The 27667-nt window shown below is 38.2% G+C and overlaps 1 protein-coding gene across 3 annotated transcripts in view, besides 1 other annotated feature; it reads right to left on the reverse strand.

Moving 5' to 3' along the window:
• Positions 1-27667, reverse strand: part of RAB38 (RAB38, member RAS oncogene family) — a 371729-nt gene that overhangs the window by 321267 nt on the left and 22795 nt on the right. For all 3 annotated transcript variants that reach the window (XM_017017456.3, XM_017017455.3, NM_022337.3), the window contains exon 2: positions 24694-24974. In XM_017017456.3, coding sequence (XP_016872945.1) covers positions 24694-24974 — 281 coding nt within the window. The remainder of the gene's footprint in view (positions 1-24693; positions 24975-27667) is intronic.
• Positions 7241-7350: an enhancer, noted in NCBI's record as "active region_5377". NCBI's record gives its function as "activates an Ori minimal core promoter by ATAC-STARR-seq in GM12878 lymphoblastoid cells {active_cell/tissue: GM12878}" and the evidence as "EXISTENCE:reporter gene assay evidence [ECO:0000049][PMID:35858748]".

The raw sequence follows: 27667 nt of genomic DNA on the forward strand, positions 1-27667 counted from the left end.
ATGCTTAGAGATGATGATGGACATGACGTGCTCTCTTCTCATAGTGACTGTAACATTTTACCCCAGTTCATGTCCTGTGTAGTCTTCTCTCTGATCACATGCCTCTAGTTTCTTCTGTCTCACTGCAATCATCCTCTATATTCCTTCCAGACTGTCTCTTAACTACTCCAATTAAGATGTAACTACATTCATACTTCATCGAAAAAATATCTTGTGGGCTCACATTGCGTACTCAGAATAAGTTCAGACCACAAAACTGGTGCCCAACCAATATGGCTACAACTGAACTCTCCTGTTTCATCTGTACTAGATTCCAACCGAACTAGACCATAAACCCTTCCCTCAATGTGTTCTTTGCTTGAGTTAGTCTTATTCCCATCTCTATCTGTAGATCCCCTGCCCCTCCAGAACAAACATAACTTTTTTGGAAGTATTTAGCTGCTAACATCTAACTGATTGACATTCTCCTTTGAATTTTTGGATGAAGTTCAGTATATCCTCTAGCTTCAGAATTGTCTGGTATCTTGAATTTTTATTATTTGTCTCTATTTATTTAATGTGAAGGGAAAAGGTGCCATAGAAAGACTCAGAACTTGTGAATTTGTTTGAGTTCTGTGTAGATTCTGGATATTAGCCCTTTGTCAGATAAGTAGATTGCAAAAATTGTCTCCCATTCTGTACGTTGCCTGTTCACTCTGATGGTAGTTTCTTTTGCTGTGCAGAAGCTCTTTAGTTTAATTAGATCCTATTTGTCAATTTTGGCTTTTGTTGCCATTGCCTTTGGTGTTTTAGACATGAAGTCCTTGCCCATGCCTATGTCCTGAATGGTATTGCCTAGGTTTTCTTCTAGGGTTTTTATGGCTTTAGATCTAACATTTAAGTCTTTAATCCATCTTGAATTAATTTTTGTATAAGGTGTAAGGAAGGGATCCAGTTTCATCTTTCTACATATGGCTAGCCAGTTTTCCCAGCACCATTTATTAAACAGGGAATCCTTTCCCCATTTCTTGTTTTTGTCAGGTTTGTCAAAGACCAGATAGTTGTAGATATGTGGCATTACTTCTGAGGACTCTGTTCTGTTCCATTGGTCTATATCTCTGTTTTGGTACTCATACCATGCTGTTTTGGTTACTGTAGCCTTGTAGCATAGTTTGAAGTCAGGTAGCGTGATGCCTCCAGCTTTGTTCTTTTGGCTTAGGATTGACTTGGCAATGCGGGCTCTTTTTTGGTTCCATATGAACTTTAAAGTGGTTTTTTAAGACACATGCACACGTATGTTTATTGCAGCATTGTTCACAATAGCAAAGACTTGGAACCAACCCAAATGTCCAATGATAGACTGGATTAAGAAAATGTGGCACATATATACCATGGAATACTATGCAGCCATAAAAAATGATGAGTTCATGTCCTTTGTAGGGACGTGGATGAAGCTGGAAACCATCCTTCTCAGCAAACTATCACAAGGACAAAAAAACCAAACACTGCATGTTCTCACTCATAGGTCGGAGTTGATCAGTGAAAACACTTGGACCCAGGAAGGGGAACATCACACACTGGGGCTTGCTGTGGGGTGGAGGGAGGGGGAAGGGATAGCATTAGGAGATATACCTAATGTAAATGATGAGTTAATGGGTGCAGCACACCAACATGGCACATGTATACATATGCAACAAACCTGCACATTGTGCACATGTACCCTAAAACTTAAAGTATAATAATAAAAAAAAAAAGAAAGACTCAGAAGTATCCCAGCTCTGTGTATTGCCACTCGTGTAACCTCCAGGAAGTCACCATAACCTCTCTCTCAGCCTGTTTCTTTACGTATAATCTGTGATGAAAATAATGCCAACTTCACAAGGTTATTGAGGATGTGTATAAAGTGAGAGGAGATATATGAAAGAACTTAGCAATAGTGCTGGCATGCAATAGGCACTGAAAATAAAGCACTTGGAAAACAATACAACACTGCCCAACTATTATTGTTAAGTCATATATGAGACTGGAGGGGCAAACAAACTTCTTCATTAGAGTAAGATATTTCCAAGTGGGTTCTGAAGTTTCATAGGATGATATGGGAGAAAAGCCATCTTATGGCTAAATGATTTTAGATGTTAAATTAAAAATAATACAAAAGTGTTTCTTAATCATAGGATTTCTCAGAGTCTTTTAGAAGATCGTGGAGTGTGCCTTGTGTTCAAATTCTTTACATTAAACAGAAAAGCAGTTTCTCATTCTGGGCTGGAATGCATGAGGGGAACTAAAGCACCATAATGAACTGGGAGCAGAGGGGAAAGATGTGTATCAATTATGTGTGAATGGAAATAAGGCAGATTCAAGTTGGGATGGGAGAACAGGCTTTCTCTTTCTCCCTCCCATCTCAAAGAAGGGAATGATTGTGCAGTGGTCATAAAGTTACCTGACTACAGAACTCTTATCTAATGCTGTATCTCAGAGAGCTAATGTTCCTCTTCACACAGTTTGACAACTACTGATCTGGAAATAGTGGTGGTATAAGTGGGAGTGGTTAAGAGTAGAGGGGTTTGTGGAAAGAGACATTCATTAACCAATTTTATATTACCCTGTGTGTTTTTTATACCCTCACCTAAGTAGTGCTACCCCCATTTTTATCTTTCTCTAATTTTCCTGAGACTAGCCCAAAATGAAATACATGTGTTTTCTAAAATATGATTTTAACAGAGTAGATGATATAATGCAAAGTTGGAAACAATAGATCTGAATGGTTATGATAAGGTATTATCCTCTCTGATAGACCAATGCTCCCTAATCCAGAACCCCAGCAAGGTAGGGTTGGCTGCTAACCAACCTCCTAGGTGGCTCCTAACAGTTCCCTATAGTATCTATGGTCACACACATGTACAATTACTTTTTAAAATTTACCTTCTCTCTAGATAACAAACTTCTTGAGAGCAGAAGTGACACACATTTGGAGTGTCTATCTTGACAGCAGTTATCATAGAGCCTGTTGGCATGTAGTGCTTACAATGTAATTTATGAATGAACTGTTCTGTAAAAGGGAAAGAAAAATGAGCTGATTCAAATTTAAAAAGCACAAAAGAAATTGTGACTTCTCTGTGCTGATATCCATTACACCGAATCTCTTTATACTCAGGACAGCTTAGGACAGGGAATTAGGAGACTTGAGTCTTAGCCCTGATGTTGCTACAAACTATCTTGGTCACTATGAGCAGATTAAGTCCTCTTTCTGGCATCCGTTTCACCAGCTGTGAAGGGAGATAATTTATACTCTCCCTTTTTTCCAGATAGAATTGAAGGTGACTCCTGAGACTATCTCAAGCTCTTGTCTAATGTAGTTAAACTTGTGGGAGAGCTGAGAATAATGCTCCCTTAATGGGAAAGATTTCTCAAATTGAGAATTTAAATATAAGGCATTTGTTAAGCAATCATCATCTACAGCAAGTGAACTCTGTCAACTTGATTAGCCGTAAGTTACTGGTTGCAAAAATCAGAAACCCATTGAATCACCTAGGCCATCTGGAGGGTAGCTCCCAGGAGTAACAGAATTGCTGAAAGACTCAGGTTACTCCAGGAACTTTAGAAAATAAAATTAATCTCTCAAATACCATCAGATCACCTTAATTTTTCCTACCTGCCCTCAGGTTTTTGCAAATAAAGAAGTTCAGAGCTTCTGGATTCATATGCTCATAGTTTTGCCACTAAAGAGAAAAGGCTTCCTACCCTCAACCTCAGTTAGAGAAATCTTGAGGAAGGACTCTGATGACTTTAGTTTCAGGCACATGTTCATACTCAAGACTAGAACAATTCCAAGTCCCAGAGACAGTGGTACCACAAGTGGACTCACTTGGATCATGTGGACACTATTGGCCAGTTACAGTGACTTGAGAGACACAGTATGTAGGAGTGGCAACTTCTACTGGGACAACTTGCAGCAGGAGAGGAAGAGGAATGGTTGGGAGGAGGAGCTCAAACCTGGCATGGCTCAATGATTTTGAATCTGGAAACCCTCAGTTGTATTTACTATATCACTATATGGACAGTTGTATATCTATACCAATGTAGATGTATGCATTCACATTTTAGATAGACATAAGCAATGCATAATTTTAAAAATAAATAGAAAATATTTTTCCGTAAACTTACACATTACCCAACAGATCAAATCTAGTGGCACCTGAGTACCTTAACATATACAGAATAAGTAGAAAACTGAGGCTATAATACTGGACATGCAAAAAAGCAAGATAAGGAAAGTAGAGTTGAAACATAAATGACTTGAAGAAAGGCACCTCTCACCAGAAAGGTATAAAGTAGTTGCTCAATAAATTTGAGAGAAAATAAAAAGGAATAAAAGAAATTTCTTACAGTTTAAGAAATGGCTGGGCGTGGCGGCTCACACCTATAATCCCAACACTTTGGGAGGCTGAAGTGGGCGGATCACTTGAGGTCAGGAATTCAAGATCAGCCTGGCCAACATGGTGAAACCCTGTCTCTACTAAAAATACAAAAATTAGCTGGGCATGGTGGCATGTGCGTGTAAACTCAGCTATTCGGGAGGCTGAGGCACAAGAATTGCTTGAACCCAGGAGGTGGAGGAGGTTGCAGTGAGCCGAGATCGTGCCACTCAACTGCAGTCTGGGCGACAAAGTGAGACTCCATCTCAAAACAAACAAACAAACAAACAAACAAACTTCAGTTCTGATAATGAGCCAATTCTATAGACTGACATTTTAAGGACAAATATGGCTTAAAATGAATAAGATGGAGTTATTTTTAATATACAGATACACACATATTTCTTATTGAATGAAACAGAACAAAAATGTTAACAGTTAAATGAATTAGTGGTTTGATTACAAATAATTTTAATCTTATATTTTATAATTGTGATCATTTTCTAAGTTCTCTATAAAATGCATATGCAATTCTAATATTCATATTCAAAGGTGTGGAACAAAAAAAAACAGCCATAAATTTTGAACCAAGGATAGTGTAGGAAGTTCTAATATCTTTAATTTGCCTTTGAAGCCCAGAAAATAGGAAGGGAGCAGCACATTTGGAAGTATTCCACAAACTGGAAAATAGAAATATCTAAGAATGAATGGAAAACTGTGTAAGTTATTCTCACAGATGGGAAACAGTCCATAAAATTGAGTGTGGAAAAAAAATAAGGACAGGAAGCTCAGAAACAGAAATTCTAACTATACAATCATGAGTAATCCAAGGAAGAAGAAAAAGGAAACCCATCTAAAAGAAGCTAGTTTGACTACAGGAACATCTCAGGTAAAATCAAGTTTAAAAATAACATGTACAAAAGACAGAAGGAGAAGGGAAGTGAACGCAGAACAGATTCGAGCGGTGTCTGAACTCATCCACATGGGCTCAGGAAGCTAAAATGAAGTCTAAGGACAAACTTGAAGAAAATACTAAAGGCAGAAAAAGACTGTTTTGGAATTTATTCAGAGCAAAAGTATTATCACTGAAGAGACGGACTAGCACTACAAGTTTAGCAGACTGTGGACACAGAGAATGGAGATATAAACACAATAAACTAACTTCATTTTCTGCCATAATAAGGATTTCAGACTGAGCAATCAGGAGACTGCTTTGAACATCTGATCTTTAGTATAATGCCCCTCTTAATGTCCCTGCTGACAAGGTGACTATGGGTTGGTTCCAAAGTAAAATGGCTAGATTTGTATGGGCTCAAACTGTGCCTGAAGACTATTAATTATTTAATTACACTAAATAAGAATAGTTTCTCAGGTGGTAGTATAGGACTCAAACCCCTGTCCAGAAGTAGCCTCATTTTTATCAGAAGATTGGATGAAGTCATAAAAGGCATACTTATCAAATTTTTGTTAGACCCAAAGGCAGAAGCGAAACTGACATGAGGGATGAAATTAGAATTTTAGAATGTTCTCAGAATGATGACTACTTCAGTTCATTGTTGGTAAGTATAAATTAGTTCATCATTTTTGAAAATATGTGATAAGAACATAAAAATGTCCATTCCCTTTGATCTAGTAAATCTAAGAGTAAGCCTTAATAAAATAATCTTAAACATATAAAATAATTTATGTACAAAAATACCCATCATTACATTATTTAAAATAGTAAAAACTAAAAATGTAAGAAAAAGAGGGTTAATGATAGGGGATATTATGAACATCCTTATAATATGGTATTGTTCAGTTATTAAAAATTATATTTACAAATAGTTCACCATAGAAATCCTTATAGTACATTTTTTAAGTTGCACACAATATGATATAATTAAGAAGTATGACAATGTTAGCAGTGATTAATCCTGTGTAGGAATTTCTGTGTGATTTTTTTCCATTATTAATTTCCATTTTTCCTAAACAAGACAGATTTATTTTCTCTAATTTGGCATTTCAAATTTTACCCTGGCTATCAATATGCAATATCTCCTCTTCCTTTTTAACAGAATGCTGATTTTTGCATAGGTAGCTAAAACTTTATTTCCCTGGCTTCCTTGTGCTAACTGCAGTTATGACTAATGAAATATAAACAGAAGTCTACTAAGTAGGGTTTCCTATAAAACTATCAATTTCTGAACTTTAATCTATGGCCATACCACTTTGAATGTGCTTGATCTCATCTGATTTCTAAACTTAAAAAGAGGGGCAGGCAGAGTTAGTTGTTACACACCTTTTACTCTTAACCTTTCCAGGATACTTAATCCTGCCCAGAAACTAATATGACAGACAGAATTCTAATTCTAATGTTCCCAAGATGTCCACCCCCTAGGGTCATGCCCATTGAGTGCAGGTGGGACCTATGAATAGGACAGCATAGTCAGTCCCTTGATTAGGCTCCCTTTCATAAGACTTCACTGTAGCAAACTAGAGAGAAATTCTCTTTCTAACCTTGAAGAGGTAAGCTGCCATGCTGTAAAAAGGCCACATGGTTAAGAACTCAGATCAGCCTCTAGGAGCTGACAGCAACCCCCAGGCAACAGCCAGCAAGAAAACAGAAACCTCAGTCCTACAACCACAAGGAACTGAGTTCTGCCAACAACCTGAATGAGCATAGAAGAGGATCCCAAGGTTTAGATGAGAACACAGCTATGACCAGCATCTTGGTTTTAGCATGATAAGAATCTGAGTAAAGGACCCAACCAACCTGTGCTAGGACTACTGACCCATGGAAACTGTGAAATCATAAATGTGTGTTATTCTAAGCTGTCAAGTTTATGGCAATGCATTACACAGGAAAAGAAAACAGAAACTAATGCCCTCATCTTATAACCATAAGGGAGAAAGTCACGTGCTGAGGCTGGTGATCCAGGAAGTTGAGCCATTTATGACGTCCTTGAACTGCAGTTCCAGCCCTGGGTACATACCTCAAGACTTGTTTCATGCTATAAATGAGCTCTTCTTTGGTTAAGTCACTATTTTTAGGGTCTCTTTCAAATATAGACGAACACAATTCTAACTGAAATAGATGTTTTACTTTTCTTTTTTCTTGAGACAGTGTTTCACTCTTGTTGGCCAGGCTGGAGTACAATGGCACGATCTTGGCTCACTACAATCTCTGCATCCCAGGTTCAAGTGATTCTCCTGCCTCAGCCTCACGAGTAGCTGGGATTACAAGCATGCGCCACCATGCCCAGCTAATTTTTTGTATTTTTAGTAGAGATGGGGTTTCTCCATATTGGTCAGACTGGTCTTCAACTCCTGACCTCAGGTGATCCACCTGCCTTGGCCTCCCAAAGTGCTGGGATTACAGGCATGCACCACCATGCCCAGCCTAGATGTTTTACTTTTAAGGGTAAAAATAATAGATTAAAAATGAAATTGGAATTATAGCTTGAAACCACAGAATAATATTTAATAGATATTAATAATAAAATTATACATGTGAGTTCAAGTTATCAATAGTTTAAATGCACAAGATTTCATTTGATAGCATATTATTTAGAAAAATAAGGGATTTTTAGTTGACCGTAAGTACAACATGTCTCTAACAGTTTGATACAGCTGTTGAAAATAAATTAATGTAGTGAACTACTGCATACAATAGAAATATTGTGGTCTAGGAAAGATAGGTTAGAGTCCCATTATCCCATGCTCTGTTCAGTCTACATCTAGTATATTGTAAACAGATCTGGCCACTCCATTTAAACTGGCATACGGACAGATTACAGTGTCCAGGTAAGACAACCAGAATGGTAAGGGTTCCCAAAGCCAATTCACTTGAACAACAGCAGGAGTTCTTAATAAACAAGTCTTACAAAGAGTGAAAAGTCATTCTGTGCTGGGAATTTGTGAAAGCCAAATAAGAAAATAAATGTTGGAAACTTCCAAAATTTGAAAGTTTTAAACAAATGTTATATATTAACATTTTGAACATTCATGGCAAATAACAAAAGCTGACTTTCAATCTAGATGATGAACTCATTTACAAAGTTTCTGAATATTTTGGCCCTTTTGTAGACCTGAAATTTAGGCTTGCTACTATGCTCTTTAAGTTAGATTTAAAAATCTCTAACTACTATAAAGTCTGGTCAAAGCTTACTCCTGTTACACCCTAGACACCTCTGACCCATGCTAGACCTCCCAGTGACTTAAAAGAAAATACACTGTTGACAGAATAGAGGGGGATAATTATTTAATAACCTTATTTTCCTACTTTAATTTTTAGACCCACCAACTAGCAGAAACACAGTAAGTGAATGCAAGTTTTGATTATTTAAAGAGAGAACCAATGATGTATAATCTGACTTTTTTTCTTGTCCAAAATCTTCCCAGTTTACTACTCAGAAGAATAGCATAGAAAAAAAAGAGTGAAAAGTCAGGCTACTCAAAAGTAATCTTATTAGGGCTGTCTACTGAGGAGAGTCCACTGAGTTCTAGTCTTAGCTATTTTGAAATACACCTATGCTACCTCTACTACTTCCCCTCTCTGGGGCCTCATTTTTTCATCTAAATGTGGGAATGCCAAGAGATTAGTCCTGAGTCCTTTTCTCTTTTCTATCTATACTCATTCCCAAGGTAATCTCATTCCAAAGGGATCTTTAAATATTACCTATACATACATAACAACCAAACATATCTGCAGCCTGGACTTTTCTCCTGAACTGCAGAATCATACATAACTACTTACTTTACATCTGCTCTTAGATGTATAGTAACCTTTTAGACTTTAACATACAAAAAAAAGAATCTTGTATCTCTTACCCATTGATCCCTCTGTATCTCAGGACCCCATTCAAAAACTGCCAACTCTATTTATTTTATTTTATTTTTTTGAGATGGAGTCTTGCTCTGTCACCTAGGCTGAAGTACAGTGGCGCAATCTAGGCTCACTGCAACCTCCACCTCCTGGGTTCAAGCGATTCTCCTGACTCAGCCTCCTGAGTAGCGGGGACTACCGGTGTCTGCCACCATGCCTGGTTAATTTTTTGTGTTTTTAGTAGAAATGGGGTTTCTCCATGTTGGCCAGGCTGGTCGCAAACTCTTGACCTTAAGTGATTCCCCTCACCTCGGCCTCCCAAAGTGCTGGGATTACAGGCGTGAGCCACATCACCTGGCCGCCAATTCTATTCTTACAGTTGCTTAGGCCAAAAACTGTTGAGACATCCTTAAATCCTCACTTTCTGTCATTACCTTTACTTAAATTGCTAGGAAATCCTGTGTCTGAAGAACATTCATAAATACAAGGTAGAATTTGAGTACTTCTCACAATCTCATTCTTAAATATTGCAATAGCATCCCAGCTGATCTGCTTCCAACCTTTCTCACTATAATTCAGGTTCAACAAAACCACTGCAACGATCCTTTAGATCAAATTATATCACATCTCTGATCAAACCCAATGGCTTCTTGAACAGAAAATTCTGTCTCACAAAAATCCAAAATTCTTACAATTATCTAAAAACTCAACAGGACATCACCTCTCTGACCTCACCTCTATCACTCTGCTATTGCTCACTCTGCTCCATCTTCACTGGCTGCCTTGCTGTTCCAAAAATACAGCTGTCAATTCCTGCCAGAGTGCCTCTGCTCATGCTATACCCACTTCCTCGACCATTTTCTTTCCGTGATTTTATATGGCTCAATAGTGCTCATCTTTCAAATATTTACCTTAAAAACAACAACAACAACAAAAACACCCTCTTGATGAAACCTTCCCCGGTCACCCTGTCTAAAACTGCTTACTTCTCTTTTTACTCCTCCCTATATCCCACATGTTACATATGCCACGCAAGCTCCCCTGCTTTCATGTTCTGCTTAGCACTTATCTCCACCTGACAAACTATATATTACGTTTATTTACCATTTTATAACCTGTCTTTACTCACTTTAATGCAAGTTCCAAGGTGAGAGGGATTTTATCTATTTTGTCCACTGGTATAGCCCTAATGCCTAAAATAGTACCTGTAACATAGAGGTTCTCAATGATTATTTGAAGAATAAATGAATAGATAAAACCGTAAAATAAAGTACTTAGACCACAGGTTAAGTTAAACTGCTCGCCACATCTAATATTCTTGTGTTTCCATGCAAATGGTAGAGAAGATATATAATGGCATGCCACTTTGGGGGTTAAATATGGGTTTCAACTACTGTGGTAATGCTAGATCTCTTTCAACTCTGATAGTTTGCATTTACTGCTTGTGACTGTCCTTCTTTACAAAAATCTGAAACACAAAATCTAAACTTATTACCAGATGAAATAGAATGTGACAATAGTCTTCCAAAGAAACTCTTCCTTTTTAAAGAGACTCATCCAGGAAGAGCTACCATAACGAGCCTTTTGCGATGGTATTTAAAAATGGGATTTACAACATAATGTTTCAGAAACATATAGTATCCTGGCATCTCAATGCTGTCATTCCTCTTTCATTTTGAGAACCCCAGGGGAAATGAAAGCTAAATAATTTGTCTTACAGCTAACCAACAATTTTACTTACACTAGAAAATTCAAAGTGACTGGGAATTATGAAAGTTCTCAAGAGAGAACTTCTTTCCTCCGGAGCAAGCTTTGACAAGTAAAATTATTCTCAAAAAGTGACTCCACTTCATTTAGTTCAAGGAAATGGATTTACAAATCTTGAGCATTCTGTCATTGGCTTTTCTACATTATCCCTAGGGCTATTCCATCACTTTAGGATATCTCTGGACACCACAGGCTAACCCAGCCTTTGAGCACTCCCGTAGCATGTTAGGTCCACAGACAGGCTACAGAGGAGCTGCTGCTGCTCCTCACTTTTGCCTAATGGGATATTGATTTTCCCCCCAGTCTCAGCAGGCTTTCTCAAGAAATCAATACCTCGGTAGCAGTGAAGTAGATGGAGATGAAACAGAAGGCCTTGGGAGGGTAGGACTGTCATCCACAAATCTAAGGGCGCTTCAAATGTGGCCAACAAGACACATCAGAGAAGGCAAAGGACCACAAAACAGAGGTCAGACAAAATCAATACTAAAAAAGTAAAGTAACAGAGAAGGAGAGGGCAAACGTGTCTTAGTAACATAACCCTTTCGAAAACAAGGAAGCCACTCTGCCCAGGGTTGAAGATCAAGAAAGTTAACATTGGTTCTGACAGAAGAGACAGGGCCTTTGTCTACTGGCTTTTTTAAAAGTAGAAAGCTGGAAAGAATGAGAACATGTGCAACAGCATTCAAAAGATTTGCACACATTTTTAGAAATCTAAAAGTAATAGAGAAGTAGTAATAGGTTTAGCAGAGTATAGATAGTATGGTCTAAAGAGTGTATAGAGGGAGATATGGAAAATAGTAGGGCTAATTAATTCCCTCAAAATCCAAGAAGCTCAACACTTACACAGTAATTGTAGTTGAAATCAGGGAGACTGGTTGAAAGTCCAAATGGGGACATCAACCCTGTCCCTTCTCCATTCTTAGGATACCAGCAGTCAGACATTTACACCCCAAGTCAAATTCTGGTTTATCTTCTGAATAAACTAAAGAAAGGAGACTTGAGACTCAAGAGACACCAACTAGCATACCCCTGTAGGTGATATGGAGATGGAAAAAATAATCAACTAAAGTCTGCAAATATGGCAGCTGGGCTACTCCTTCCCTCTACTAAGAACTCTGACATCTTCACCCTTAGTGGGAAAGAAGAGTTTTTCTATAGAGAAAAGACCTTCAACAACTGACATGTAGTCCCCAGTGAAAACCAACCTAAAGCAAAACCCACAAATCAACAATCACCATAGCCACTATTCAACAAGCCTTTCTAGACACACAGAGCTCAGTATCTGCTTTTGATTATCTTGCTCTCAAAATTTTTAAAGGGACCATCAACATAAAATAGAAGAACAAAAGTAGACTGAAAAAATAATTCTAATGAAATAGATAATGCAAAAATCAGAAAAAACTTCAGAAAAATAATTCAGCATCTTCACAAATATAATCAACTATCACATTCTTAGGATTTTTGAAAAAGAATAATCAGGATAAAATTGAGTTATTCAAAATTAAAACTATGATTGCTGAAATTAAAAATTATAATAAAAGACTGGAAAATTGCAGCAAACTAATAAACAGAATAAAACAAAAATTGCTAAAGTGCTGAAAATATGTGAAAAAATCATAAGCTCATAGACTTAGTTCAGGTTACACCAAACTAGGAGTTTCATAAAGAAAGAACACAGAAAACAATAGGAAGAAAATTATCAAAGAAATAACATTTTTCAGAACATGAGTTTGTAAGTTGAAAGAGCTTACAAAGGGCCCAGAACAATAAATGAACAAAGGTTTATATAAAGCACAGGATTGTGGACTTTCAGATTACCAGGGGTAAAGAGATGATTCTAAAAACTACCAGACAAAAGAAAACAGCTTATGCACAAAGCTTTAAGAATGAGAATGGTATGAGACTTCTGAAGAGTAATGCTAAATGCTGTATTACAATGAAGCAATGCCTTAAAGTTAAAAGGGGAAATTATTTTAAACCGAGGAATCTATACCCATCTAGAGAGTTAAAATTGTGTGAGGGTTAGAAAATATGTATTTGAAGATATCAAGTACCCAGAAATGTCATGCATCTTTTCCTAAGCAGCAGCAGGAGGCTATGTTCCAGCAAAACAGGACAAATAAATGGAATCCAGGAAGCAGGCAATCCCACACACAAGAATGTCAAAGCACAGTCCCAGGATTACAGCCGTGTGCTGGCTCTACAGGGCATTCAAAAAAAAATTGCATAAGGAAAGGAGAGGATTCTGGGATGGAGATCTCCAAGACAAAACTAGTCTCAACAGAATAAACACTATAATGGAAATTTTTTAAAACATTAAGGAATATTCATTGAAAATAAGCACAGACAGCAAATTATGTGAGTGACTAATATTTTCATACCTAATGATATAAACCACGATTTTTGTCATGATTCAACCAAAAGCAGTGATAGAATTTTACTGAAAAGATGGGGAAGTGGGGTAAGTAGGTAAGAAAATTAAATTCTCATCTAGAAAAGCAAATTATTAATGAGTATGTAGAAATCTAATAAATCAAGAAATAGCAATATAAGACTATCATTTAGACACAGAGAAGTAAAAAGAAAAATAGGGAAGAAGAGATCTGAATAGAGAGAGTTGGGTTCTAATTTTGACTCTGCCACCTGCTAACCATAGGATAATGGGTAAATTGTTTAACTTCTTTAAGTCTCAGTTCCTTAATATATAATATGGGCATAGTAATAGCACCTATTTCATAAGGGTTTGTGAGAAGTAAATGAAATAAATAAAGCACTTACTACAAGACCTGTTAAACATGCATTTTATACATACAATTTTTATTATTATTCTTTTTTTTTTATTATTTTTTTTGAGGCGGAGTCTTGCTCTGTCGCCCAGGCTGGAGTGCAATGGCGCGATCTCGGCTCCCTGCAAGCTCCGCCTCCTGGGTTAACGCCATTCTCCTGCCTCAGCCTCCCGAGTAGCTGGGACTACAGGCGCCCGCCACCACGCCTGGCTAATTTTTTTTGTATTTTTAGTAGCGACGGTGTTTCACTGTGTTAGCCAGGATGGTCTCGATCTCCTGACCTCATGATCCACCCGCCTCCGCCTCCCAAAGTGCTGGGATAACAGGTGTGAGCCACCATGCCTGGCCTATTATTCTTAATATTAAGATTCGCATGGTCTTGTTTTGACAATTTTATGATGACTGATAATGATAGGTAACTCTGCAGTAACAACATGTTCTTGATTAGATATCTTAGAAAAATGATGAGAAGCTTGTTTTTGCTTTCTAAAAATGAAATACCCAGGAGTTCCTAAGAGTGGGTTCCTAATGCCACACTGCACAATATCCACTAAAAAGGAGTTCTCAGTGCTTCCCTTCAGTCTTCCTTTGAGGCCTCTCTTATTCTTGGCAACCCAGATTAAACACCAAAGAAGCTGCATCACTCACAGGTGGGGGTAACAGCTTTTTCTTCAGCTGCTCTCACTGCTCTTGTAAAAGCCATCAAATTATCTGGAACTTCATACTATATTGTAAATATTTGTTTATTTTGGTGTCTTCCAGGAGTTGAACCTAGTAAGAAACTGTGCCCTCTATTATCAGTGCCCCAGTGCTTAGCAAAGTGCCTACTTGAATATATAGTAGGTATTCAGAGAATACTTGGAGAATGAATAAATGAACGAATAAATGAGTTAACAAATTCCAACACAATGCATCTTAACCAGGGTGCAAGTAAAAATCACCAAAGGAGTGTTTTCCAAAAACATATATTCTAAGCCCCTCTAGACTTCTCTGAGAATAGGGCCAAGGCATCTGCAATCTTACCAAGCTCTTTACATGTCCCTGATGCACAACTTTTACAAGAATCATTGTCATGGAATAGATAGAGTGCTAGACTGGATCTGAAGTCTAGGCCTGGTCTCACCAATGAAAATAATTGAAAATCCTCCCCAGAATTCTGTTTCTTTCTTAGTAAAAAAGACAAATTTGACAGCCATTGCAGGTGGCTCAAATGACAGTAGCTAAAACTCAAATGAGAGATACATGTAAAACAGGATTATAAGAATTTCAGTGAAGAAAATTGCTATATTCTGGTCCTGGAGTGTGAAGGAGGAATGACTTGCATAATTCGGTGCACAAGCTAATGTCAGATTCTTATGGAATGTTATGTGGCATTGCCAAGCAAAGAATTTGCAAATCTCAGTTGAGGGCCCAAGGCAAGGCATTAAGGTAGGGGGTGCAGCTTCCCTCACCTTCATTTTTCTTCTTTACTTCTCCATCCACACTGCAGGGCACAACAATCTCCCTCCTGTGCAGTTTCTAAAGAGCTTTCTGGATGAAAGGAGTTACATAATGTGGGGTCCTCCTGGGAACTACAGCAATAAATTAATTTTTCTGCTTCTACACAGTTATCTAAGGACATAAATACTCCGCACGGGCAGGGCCAAGAATAATAGAATAAAATAATCTTTTGAAAGATTCCTTAAAAGGCAGTGCATCAAAATATTCTTTTCCATCCAATAAACACTGAGCAAGTGATTACTCTCTGCACACAAGCCATTGTGCTGGGTAATGACCAGGAGGATTCACAATGCAGTGCAGGGACCAGCCCCATAAGGAAATCATCTTAACATAGCATGGTAAGGTATAGGAGAGACTGTAACAGGTAATGTTAGAGCCAAGTCCTGAAGGAAGAGTGAGAGACAGGTGCATAAAGCTAGGAGGCACGTTCCAGGCAGGGGAAATACCAAGGTGTGATGGGAGACTTGATGCAGTTTAACACAACCATGGAATAAATGGAAGGAGTAGAGATAAGCTTGGAGAAGCAGAAAAAAAATCTCACTATTGGAGTCTTCTATGCTCAAGAATGAGGGGTTTCTAAAGAATGTGTGACCTGGTTATATGGTGTCCAGCTTGAGTGTCTGTATGGATGTAGGGTCTCCAAATTGGATAATTATATTTCCAGAAAAGCTGATGAATTCCATTTCAGATATGTTGGGTTTGAGGAGTTCTCTGAGTGATATCCAAGTAGAGATCCAGAAGGATATGGAAGTCTGAAGTTTTAGAAACAAGTCCATGGCTAGAGATAGAGATCAAGGAGGAAAGATCCAGGCTCAAAGACAACATGCCTTACTTTCTAGATGTTTTCTTCCTCCCACAGACTCATGGAAACAGGCCTACAAGTATTCTTTTTTCTCAGATAGAATCAAGGCAGACCTGACTCTGTCCCCACCCCCTAGAAAACAGCAGAACCAACTGGGCACAAGACATATTTTTTGATCACTGTTTAATTGTGGTCTCAGTGGGGAGTGATTTTGCCCCTGCAACCAGAGGACATTTGGCAATGTCTGGAGATATGTTTGATTATCACAACTGATTGGGGTGTTGGGTGCTACTGATCTTAAGTGGGTAGAAACAAGGAATGATTCTAAATATCCTGCCTTGCACAGTACACACACTCTTCCCTCCCAATCCCAGCTAAGAATTATTTGGCCCCAAATGCAATAGTGCTGAGGTTGAAAAACCCTACGCCTTATATTAGGATTTGCCAAATTTTCTAAGGAAAAGGCACTAATTTCATAAGAGTTGTTATTTAGTTGGCATTTGTCTTTTAATAAAAATCAAATATGGTCATCCTTTGATTTTTGGACATTACTAAGAAACTGTTGAATCTTTGAGTTCAGACTTCTACAGTCCATTAGGATTCTCAGCTGGAAGGGTTTATGCTAATGGACATGGTTTGACATACCGCAAAGCTTTGCTCTCTGTTTCCCCTCCACCTTATCCTTCAGCCTCATTGAACCTCAGCATTGTCAGCACTTTCTGTTATTTCTCAACTCCATGCCTTTCACGTGCTGTTTCCTCTGCCTAGAATACCTTTCTCCTTCCATCTCTGCCTTTGGAAATTCTACAGATTTTACAAGTCTGTGTTCCCCTCCTACCTTCCTACCCTCATACATCATATGGCCTCTACAGGTTTCCTCAAGAGCTGTCCTCTCTCCAACCAACATGCCTGGTACTACCTAGGAGATAGATATATGCCAGGCCAGCTCATATAGTACAGTTCAGCCCTCTCTTCTGATGGATGGTCCTTGCCTAGAGAGATGAGGCCATGGTGTAGATAGCTCTCTGAGTGACTGCATCCTTCTGACCTCAGAAAAACAGGCCTGTCCTCAACTAGACTCAGCTCTAGGGTCACAAGGAATTCTGAATCTGAGAAAGACTGCTGAGAAGCATGGAAACACTTTTGCAGATCATGGAAAATGTGGGCTTTTACCAGATAGCTAGGGGTCAGAATCATGACACAAGGCTGCATGCATGGCTTTGAGCAAGTCCCTTAATCATACCACAACTCCTCCACATGGAAAACGGGGATAATGCTTCATTATTGTAGGAATTAGTGATAATAGCTGTGAAATGCCTGGAAGGTTCTTAGTATGCAATAAATGATTGCCCTCTCTACAAATAATTAAAGTTGCACACATAATTTCAAGAGATTCTTAGAGCATCCTATGCACTGAAGCATGGATCCTCTTTTACAGCCAGCCCATGGTGTCATGAATTGCTTAAGTCCCTTTCCATAGGTATCTGTAGAAAAATGTATTGGAGTCAGGCAATTCCTGAAGAAAGGGTTAATACTTAGCCAGAGCAAGAATTATTTGTTGGGGGCAGAGTATCAGAATCAGGGATTCTAATTTGAGTTCTGAAGACTCCTGAAGCCAGGATATTTTTCTATGTTTCTTCTCTCACATCCAGAGCTGGACTTTGTTGGGCAAAATGAAATACAGACAAAGAATGTCCATTGCATTATAATCCCATACAGCGTGACCAACATGGACAAAAGCAGAAAGATGAGAAAAAGATAGGTAGTTCTGACAACGGCTAGACGAAAAGTATATGTGAGAAAAGGCCTTTCCCTTATCCAACTCACCCAACAATTCCATGTGAATTGCTCCATTTTGTCACATTTCTTGGAAGACGTATTTACACATCTGTATACCTGTCATTAGACTTTAAACTCCTAGAGATCAGGACCACATTTTACTCATTTATCTATCCCAGTCCCTGGTCTACCATGTATCAATTGCTCAATAAATACTTATTATATAAGGTCAGACTAGAAAAGGTTATACGGTAGTGCAATGTGGTGGTTGGGTGGCTAAGCTGTTCTGTCAGCACATCTAGCTTGAAATCCTGACTCTTTGACATACCGCAATGAGATCTTTAGCTAGTCACTCTCTAATTTAAACTTTAATTGCTTCATCTGTGAACAGAAAAAGTAACAGTACTTACTGTATAAGATTATTTCAAGGATAAGCTAAAATGTATGTAAAGCCACTAGCAGAGTGGTTGGCTAAAGAGAAGTTATTCTTATTTTGAGACATCAGTGGTAAACTTTGAAGCATAAAGGGTCAGATGGTAAATAATTGAAGCTCTGCAGGCTATAAGGTCTCTGTTACAACTGTTTAACTTTGTAGTTGTAACATAAAAACAGCCATTGATAACATGTAAACCAATGAGCACAGCTGAGTTCCAACAAAACTTTATTTACAATACAGGGCAGGCCATATTTGGCCCACAGATCATAGTTTGCTAATGCATGTTCTAAGGTGTCTAAATTTAAATCATTAAGAAGTAGAACCTACAGAAGATTCTTGAACTAGGCAGTGGCAAAATCAAAGTCATCCTTTGAGCAGGTTAAGTTTTTAATAGCATGCAAAACACGACTTTGAGCAAAGTCTGGAGTCAGGTTATTATGATTGTCCAAACATGAAACAGGAAAGATCTGAGCTCTAAGTAGTGAAAATATGAACCATGCAGAATAGAATGACATATGCAACACCCTGCCTTCTACAAACTGAACTATGGTTATAGCCTCTGATCGTTCATTTCTATTCTCCTATTATACAGTATCTTAGTCACGGGTGGATCTCAGATTGTCTAGTAAATTATAAGCATTGACGTAGGGAACCTCTAGAGAATTGATTAGCTAAAGATAAAATATTGTTATTAATTTATATTGATCCTTAAATAGATAACTAGCTTGAATTTGAGACTCATACACTTCACCTATTCCCAACTTCAGAAAACAATTTTCATTCTTCATGTAGGGCATCAATAATCTGTCAGAAGTGATGATTCAAATAGTTGTACTACAGACTGGTGGACATTATGTGAAATCACTATTAAACACAGCCATCATTTCCTGTATATTATGATTCTCAGTTTGCTCTGGTTTTAGATTTCAAATCAGACCCCTCCTTTTATGTCCCTAAGTATAACGAGCTCAAATCAGATCAGCTAAAAATACAGGGTTAAATGTGCTGTGACAAATTAAGTCAGTGGAGGTATATCTTATAACTTCATCTAAATTATTTGGAGATGGATGCCTACAACCTACAATTGGTGGAATCTAGGTCATCTGCCTGTGCCTAGCTGCAAAGGAAGCAAAAGAAGAAAGTTTCCTGAGTTCTTCCTGGAGAGGTGAGCTTCCTACGGCTGGAAATTCCCCGAAGATAGCAAATGTATTTAACAGTTGTTAGAAAGCCAAACAACATGAGAAATATCCACTACACTGTGAAACATCCGTTCCTCTCCCTAAAAGAAACTAATACCATCTTATAGAGAACAGTATTAGATATATTCCTTTTCTCAGCAGAAGGATACACATTAACATTTTTATTTTTAGCTTCAAAGAAGAGGCAAAAATTGAGTATAATTTAACGTAAGAAAGCTTCTTCCCAGGGCACCTGTTGCTCTTAGAACATTCTGGGAGAGAGGGTGGGTCCAAAAAGTCACTATAAATAGCATAGAAAGAACCAAGGGTATCTGTCAGGAGTAGGACTGGGATAGGGGAGCAAGAGCTGGAAGCACTGGAGGTTCTTTCTGTGAGTTTGACTTTTGTCCCCACTATTGCATAGGTACAACTTGCTCCATTCTTTCCCACCTACACTAGTGTTTGTGGTGGTGTATTTCTGAGCATAGCCACACCTGATCCACTCCATTATGTGAGCAGAATGGAGCAGGCTGGAAAGAGCTAAGGTACAGAAACAGACCTTTTCACCAGAGTATGGCTGTTGTGTGCATCACGGCTAGATCGGCGTATGGGCTGTGGGTAGAGACAGTAGGAATGGTGTAGAGTGTGCAAAGTGTGTGTCTACATGTGGTGGGATCAGATATTATGCATCTGGCCCCACATACATTATTTATCTCTCTTTTTTTTTTTGTGGGTAGGGATGGAGTTTTGCTCAAGTCGCCCAGGCTGGTGAGCAATGGCGCGATCTCAGGTCACTGCAACCTCCGCCTCCCAGGTTCAAGCGATTCTCCTACCTCAGCCTCCCAAGTAGCTGGGATTAACAGGTGCCTGCTGCCAGCCTGCTAATGTTTGTATTTTTAGTAGAGACGGGGTTTCACCATGTTGGCCAGGCTGGTCTCGAACTCCTGACTTCGTGATCCACTTGCCTCGGCCTCCCAAAGTGCTGAGATTACAGCCGTGAGCCACCGCGCCCAGCCACATTATCTCTTAATGTTCACAGTAGCTCTAGAAGGTGAGTGGGTGTGATTTTACAGAGTGAATTCAAAAACAGCAACTGATGGAGATTCAGGCAATGGGCACCAAGAATGTACCAGGTAATTTGTTCAGCAGGTAGCAGAACCCAGTCAGCCTCTCAAATGGGCCCTGAAGATATACTAACAAGAGAAGGGCAGGGTCTTTATCCTAAAGAAACAGATCTGCCAAAGCAGATTATAAAAATGGGATATGGGCACAGGAATACTAAAATATCCATTATTAGAGCTAAGGTATGATGTAGAGAGTAAAATAAGTTGAGCTCATGATCTACAGGGTGACCATGTAAATTTAAATTACAAATTAAAAATGAAGGTATTATTAATAATTATGCTGGAACAGCAGGTATAAACCAGGAATTTGGGGGGCAAAATGGGACACATGATTACCCCAATTATACATCACCTAGAGAATCCACAGACAGAATTCAAGGAAATACAGCCAAGAAAGCAAAAGAATGCAAAGGTTAAAAACCAAAGAATATGACGCAGAAAAGACTATTTTCTTTCCTTTGGTTTTAATATTGGAAGAGATAATGTGAAAAACCAGAGACACCAACATGTATTTAATTTTTATTTTTTCTCTCTTAATTCACTTGCCAGCCAGGGGCTACCATGATTGCTCCAGCAACAGCAGTAGTCATGAAAACTCTCATGGAAAGTTACTCCATAGGATTGAAGAGCAAGAGGGTAAATTTCCCTCAGCAGTGGGGTCAGTGGTAAGATGGAGGCTGGTTTCAATGACTAACTCATCTAAAATCCTGCAAGTTTCAACTGCAGAGATGTCAAAGCTGATGATGATACCTGAAGGATTTCTGCTGGATGTGCCCATGGGGACAAAGCCAGAAGTTTGACTCAGAAGTTTCAGCAATGTGAAGAAAGGAAATCAGGTATTTATCACCAGACATTATGTCGTCACTCAAAAGGACTCTAATTTTTAGAAGATTGACTGTCTAAAAGAAGGATACCTATGGGAAATGTTCTCTGATCTCAAAATGAAGGAAGGAATTCATAGCTATCCCCAAAATCTACCATCTCTGCTTCAGGCAGACAGTTTAATCTAGGCCTCAGTTTTGTAAATGTTGTAATACTATAGTCAGAAAGTTAGCAGAGCTTTATCAGAGATCTTTAAAAAGAATTTTAAAGAAGTTTGACACTCCAGTTTGTCAGTGCTGCAGGATTGTTTCTGAGCTTCTCAGTGTTGACTTTGAATACTAACCTGGCACAGGCAAGCCGTTTTCGTTAAGACATTCAGAAGGACAACCTCAATAGCATTAGGTATGGAAAAGAGATGTTGAACGTGCCTTCTGTATTTTACAATAAGGCCTTGTACTCTCTTGATTATATTAGCTTGTGAAATCTCATGTCCCCCTTCCCCAACACCGTACAAAGCTTCTCTTCAAAGTTCACACTTAGAGGGATTTGGAGGATTAGAAATCCAGTACCTAAGTAAGGTGGGTCAGCCAGTCCTAAAGGTACTAAACATTGTGTCCTTAATCAGGCAGTTTAACACTATAGTGGTTGAGCAAGGAACGTCAGAGTGAGGTGAAAAATGTCTTCAGAAGGTCTTTTGACCCACGGGTAATTTCAAGCTTCCCCACAGATTCATAGGCCTCTTCCTTTCTTTTTTCCCTTTCTTCTTATTAGCACTTAATAAGTATCACACATCATATATTTATGTTTTGTTGTTGTTTTTATCCATGAAGGCAAGGTTTTATCTGTTTCATAAGTTTCTACATTCTCAGTGCCCAGAACATTTGTCTGGCATGTAACAGGTATTTGATAATATTTATTGACTGAATGAATGAATGAATGAATAACAGAAGACTCCTCTCCCCATGTAAATACAGGTCATTCAGCCTAGTTTGCACTTACAATGTAATGTAATCAACAGAGAAAAGGAGTTCTCAAAGTCCTACTCTGTCTCCCTTGTGCCTGGAGGCTTCTGAGCTGAGAGTGACATTTTTTGAAAGAAAGCAATTTGAAGGAACACGCAGCAACTTTGGAGTGAAATTGAGTGTGGCGCTAAAAGGAAATGAAAATAAGTGAATTTACCCACATTTTGGAATTAAAAAAAAAAAAAAAACAGCTAACATTCAAAAAAGAAAACAGCCGGGTGCGGTGGCTCACGCCTGTAATCCCAGCACTTTGGGAGGCTGAGGAAGGCGGATCACGAGGTCAGGAGATTGAGACCATCCTGGCTAACATAGTGAAACCACATCTCTACTAAAAATACAAAAAAATTAGCTGGGTGTGGTGGCGGGCGCCTGTAGTCCCAGCTACTCAGGAGGCTGAGGCAGGAGAATCACTTGAATCCGGGGGGTGGAGCTTGCAGTGAGCCGAGACCATGCCATTGCACTCCAGCCTGGGTGACAGAGCGAGACTCTGTCTCAAAAAAACAAACAAACAAAAAAAGAAAATAGACTACAAAAAGATACCATGCTTGTTAAATTTCTGTAACTTAATCATACCTTTCAGTTGTGCTGTCTCCCCTTACAGCAAGAAATCCTTCAACCACATAAACTAAAAACGTTCAAAGAGAGTCAAGAAATATAAAATGATGGGAAATGTATCCTGAACCAAAGGAAGAATCCCAAGAAACAGGGGAAATCAAAATTTTAAATAGAATGAAAGGGAAAAGCACACTGGCATACTGGGGTCTCAAAAGGAAGACAAGAACTCTCGCAACTGAGCAATAACAACTTTCCAAACATAAAAGCTAGTGACAGAAGAGCAAGGAGACAGGCATCAAGGCTCTCCAGGAATGGTTCAAACAAAAGAACATCCCACTGTGACAGAAAAAGTGGCACCACTGCCCTTTTCTTCCTCTCCATCAACTCCAATCCAAGTGCTTGCTTAATTGTGCTGGTCTTTGTAATTTGGTGGTATTCTCAAATCCAGGTTTTCTTTCCTATCTATAGCCACTACTCCAGTTTAAGGTCTCATTATGTTCCCACAGAGCATGGTAACTACCATGCCACTGTGTCTCCTGGTTCACTGCCCTCCAATCCGTCTTCTATAGTTTCTCCAAGGCAAACTGGACCATTCTCTTTCCAGCAGAAAACCCATTAGAGGTTCCTCCTCAGCCTATTAGAATGATGACCATTCCAGCAATATTTTCAAACCATTTGCTAATGAGGTGCACAAATGCTCACTATAAGGCCAAAGTGTGAACTCCATAAGTACGGAGCCCATGGCTATCTTATTCACAGCTGAATCCCAAAAACTAGCGTAGTACCTGTGCTCTACAAACATCTAATATTTGAATAAAAGTGGAAAAATCATGATATAAAACCATGTGAAATGCAATCCTAACAGTGTAATTATATGCACACACACAAAAATCAAAAGCAAAAATGGTTATTCTTTTAAAATTTTAGTTATGGTTTTTTATGGATTTTCAAATTTTGCCATGAAAGTATTTTTTTTTTCTCCTGTGATACTGAGATTTTTTAAATACAGGCAAAAACAAAAAGAGAGTAGAACAAAAGCCAGGAACCTGACATATCAGATGGCAACATGAGGGAACAATGAGAAGTATATTATCCTCATCACACCATACAGGATCCTTCATCTTCCAGCCCTGCCTCAGCTCCACCTCCTGCCACTTTTCTGCCATCCAGGGGAAACAGCATGGCCAAGCTATGCTGTGTTCTTCACATTTGTGCTTGCTGTCTATTCTCTGTTACCCCACTATTCCGGTATGCCCAATGTAGTGTTTGCCATCTTTTCTTTCCTAGGAGGAAGCACAATTCCTGATGTACAGGTGAACATATTAAATATTGATTGTGTAAATTAACTAACACATGAATAAGGCCTTTACTATAAAACCATACTCACCTAATAAAGTTGTGGTGAGGACTAAATAGGAAAATGCATGCAAAATATGCCTGGCTCATAGTAAGACCTCAAAAGGCAAACATAGTTATCAACTATTACTATTGAAACCTTGTACAAGTTGCTTTCCTCCTCTTGCCACAATGATCTTAAATTGTAGATAATAATTCCTGCCTTACCTACTCATTGCACTGAGATGAGAAAGAGCTTAGAGCAATGTGAAAACCATACATCACTAAACAAACATATTATTATCATTATGATGATGGTGATGATTATGTGCCATTTTCTTTGTGAACCTTGCTTATATTAAGCTTATTATTTAAAGTCACATTACCTTTGCTGATGTTTCAAACCATCCTACGAAACCGTGCTCCTTGCAGAACTGGTCCATCTTGAGGCCATTGTTCATGAGCACATCCTTCCCCTGGTCACATTTGTTGGCCAACAAAACCACTGAAACCGGTTTGCCATTAGGGAGACTTAACTTGGAGTCCAAATCATTTTTCCACTTTGCCACTGCTTCAAATGTGGCTGGCCTGGTGACATCGAAGACAATAAATGCACCCATAGCTTCTCGGTAATAGACCCTCGTCATGTTTCCAAATCTTTCTTGACCTGACACCAAAAAGAAATAAAAATAAAAATGTATTAAAATTGCAAACTGAATCATATTATAACTTCATGAAGCCTCCAAGATGAGCAAGTCAATCAGTAAAGTGCTTCGTCTTTACTGATAATCTTTAAAGAGCGAACTAAATATGCAATCATGTAGCTTGTTCTTGATTTTTGAATTCAGAAGGGAATTCATCCATTTAACAAATATGTACTGAGAAATTTCTGTGTACCATGTAATATTCTAGACCTATGCAAATACAGTATTCCAGTAGCCACATATGGCTATTTAAATTAAATGAACAAAAACTAAACAAAATTTTTAATTCAAGTATTCTGTCACCCTAGCTAGCTACATTTCAAGTGTTCAGTAACTGCATGTCGCTAGTGCCTACTGTATTAGACTATGCCAATAATGAAACATATCCATCAGTATAGAACATTCGATTGGGCAACACTGTTCTAAATATTTGGGATACTCTGATTAAAACATAACCATCCCTGCCACCATGAAGATTATATTTTAATGGGAAGACAGACTCTAAACAATAAACATAATAAATAACAAAATTATGGAGTATGTTTAAAAGGGATCCACAATCTAGTCCAATTAAAGGTTATAATACTAGCTACCATTCATTCATGTTTACTAACCATGAGAAATGTGATTTACATAAGTGATCATTAAGGTGCAATTATTACCCCCATTTTAAAGTGAGAAAATTGAAACTTAGTCTAAGTAACATTCTCAAATCATACAGATAGTAAGCTTAAGAAATCATAATTCAAACCTGAGCTGTTTGAATCTAGGGCTCACAGTCTTTTACCAACATTAAATACTCTCAACCACTAAATTATAGGCTTGTACTCTCTCTTCCGCAGGCTTAGATACCAGGACCAGAGGACCATCCCTTTGAATTTGACTGAACAGATATTTATTGGACATCTATTATATCGATGCCAGTTTCTGGACTCTTGCTCAGAATGTAACAGTAAACTAGATAGTCTCTACCCTTAAATACTCTACAACCTATTGGATAAGAAAAGCTCTCCTACAGCAAAACACTAAATAAGTTTTGTTGTTGTTGTTGTTGTTTAGGATAAGGATTGGTTTCAGAATTAGAATCAGCTGGAATCAATTTTGCTCTGATGCTTAACGTTCTGATTGAATATTGTCAAGTTTCTTAAGCACTCTAAGTTTATTCTTCCTTATCTGCAAATTGGCAATAATAATATGTACTGCAGAGTTTTGCCATGTGGATGAAGTGAATTAATATATGCAAAGCACCCAGCATAGTACCTTATACTTGAGTTTTCCTTCTCTTTTGGCAGCATGTTAAATAGTGTGAAAGACAATATGGCACAAGTTCTGAAATCAGAGTTTCAGATCAGAGTTTGTGACAAAAAAATTACAAGTATTTCAGCTGAATAACAAAAATGAACAAAATCCTACTACTTCTAACTCTGTCTATTAATGGTTGCTGAAGACAGGAGCTAATGAAGACTTGTATTTTCTGAACTCAAAACCCCAGAAGTATGTGACCAGACAAAGCCTTTTTATTCTGATTTGGGAATTTATTTATGTTAAGAGTCTTATAAAGTTATATAAATTAAAATAAAGTTAGTGTGCATTTAACAAGTCGACTTTTCTTGGAAAGAGTAAAATGCTAAAACTGGGATGTATCTAGGAAAATATAGGTTAACATATCTCTAAGAAGAACACTTTACCCTTAATTTTGAGCTAAAAACTTTATAATGGTAAGTTTTAATTCAAGTTAGCAAGCTGTTTTGTAGATGGTTATATTTACATTGGTAGTAGCATTGAAACTGTAAGAGAAGCCTCTCTAAACACTTAGTGAAAATGAATGAAGGTCGAGGGCTCTGGTCCCAGTGTGTGAGCCTGTGTGCACAAGCAAGTATCACTGGAAAAAAAGAGTATTTTGTCACAGCCAGCACATGACAATCTTACAGTATTTCTTACGTGGGTTATACCAGAGACGCATTTTTTTATCCCACAGTTGCCTAGTCAACGAAAGAAAGGGGCAAAATACTGTCCACATGACACGTAAGCCCCAGATGAACTTTTAGTTTTCCCAAATAAGTTTTAAATTTCTTTTTTTCTTTTTAAATACCTGGTGCAAACAGTGATCTCCTTTGATACTGCCCAGAGTGGCCATGACATTTCAGAAAAACAGGGGAAAAAAGCCTTCTGTGATAACTCAGAACTTCCAAGGCCTTTAGGCTTTTAAAGGATGTCTTATGATCTCTTTCAAGGATCTAATCAGATGAAGAGCAAAGTCATGGGTTATTCAATAATCTGCTTGTCCAGAGGTTTTCATAGTAGAACAAGGCAGTCCTCAAGAATAAAGATTTTGCACTTTAAATATATGATAAAGAGTTATTTTAAGACCATACAAAAAGCAATACATAGGCTATAACTTCATAGAGAATCAAAAAGGAAAATATGTGTGTGTGTGTATATATATATGTGTGTGTGTTTGAGTTTGTGAATGTATGTGTGTCAGATCAGAAATAAGAAGACAGCTTGTTTCTAGAAAGAAAAGATGTTTATATGTTCAGGTCACTGAGCCAGGCCACTTGGAAAGTTTATATTTTTGGCATTCCAGCAAGAGGTCACACTTAGATCAGAGCATTTCTAGCACTCACATTTTCTCCTTCCTTTGTCAGCTGACAGT

Source organism: Homo sapiens, chromosome 11 (assembly GCF_000001405.40).
Source record: "Homo sapiens chromosome 11, GRCh38.p14 Primary Assembly".
In the NCBI taxonomy this organism is placed as follows: domain Eukaryota; kingdom Metazoa; phylum Chordata; class Mammalia; order Primates; family Hominidae; genus Homo; species Homo sapiens.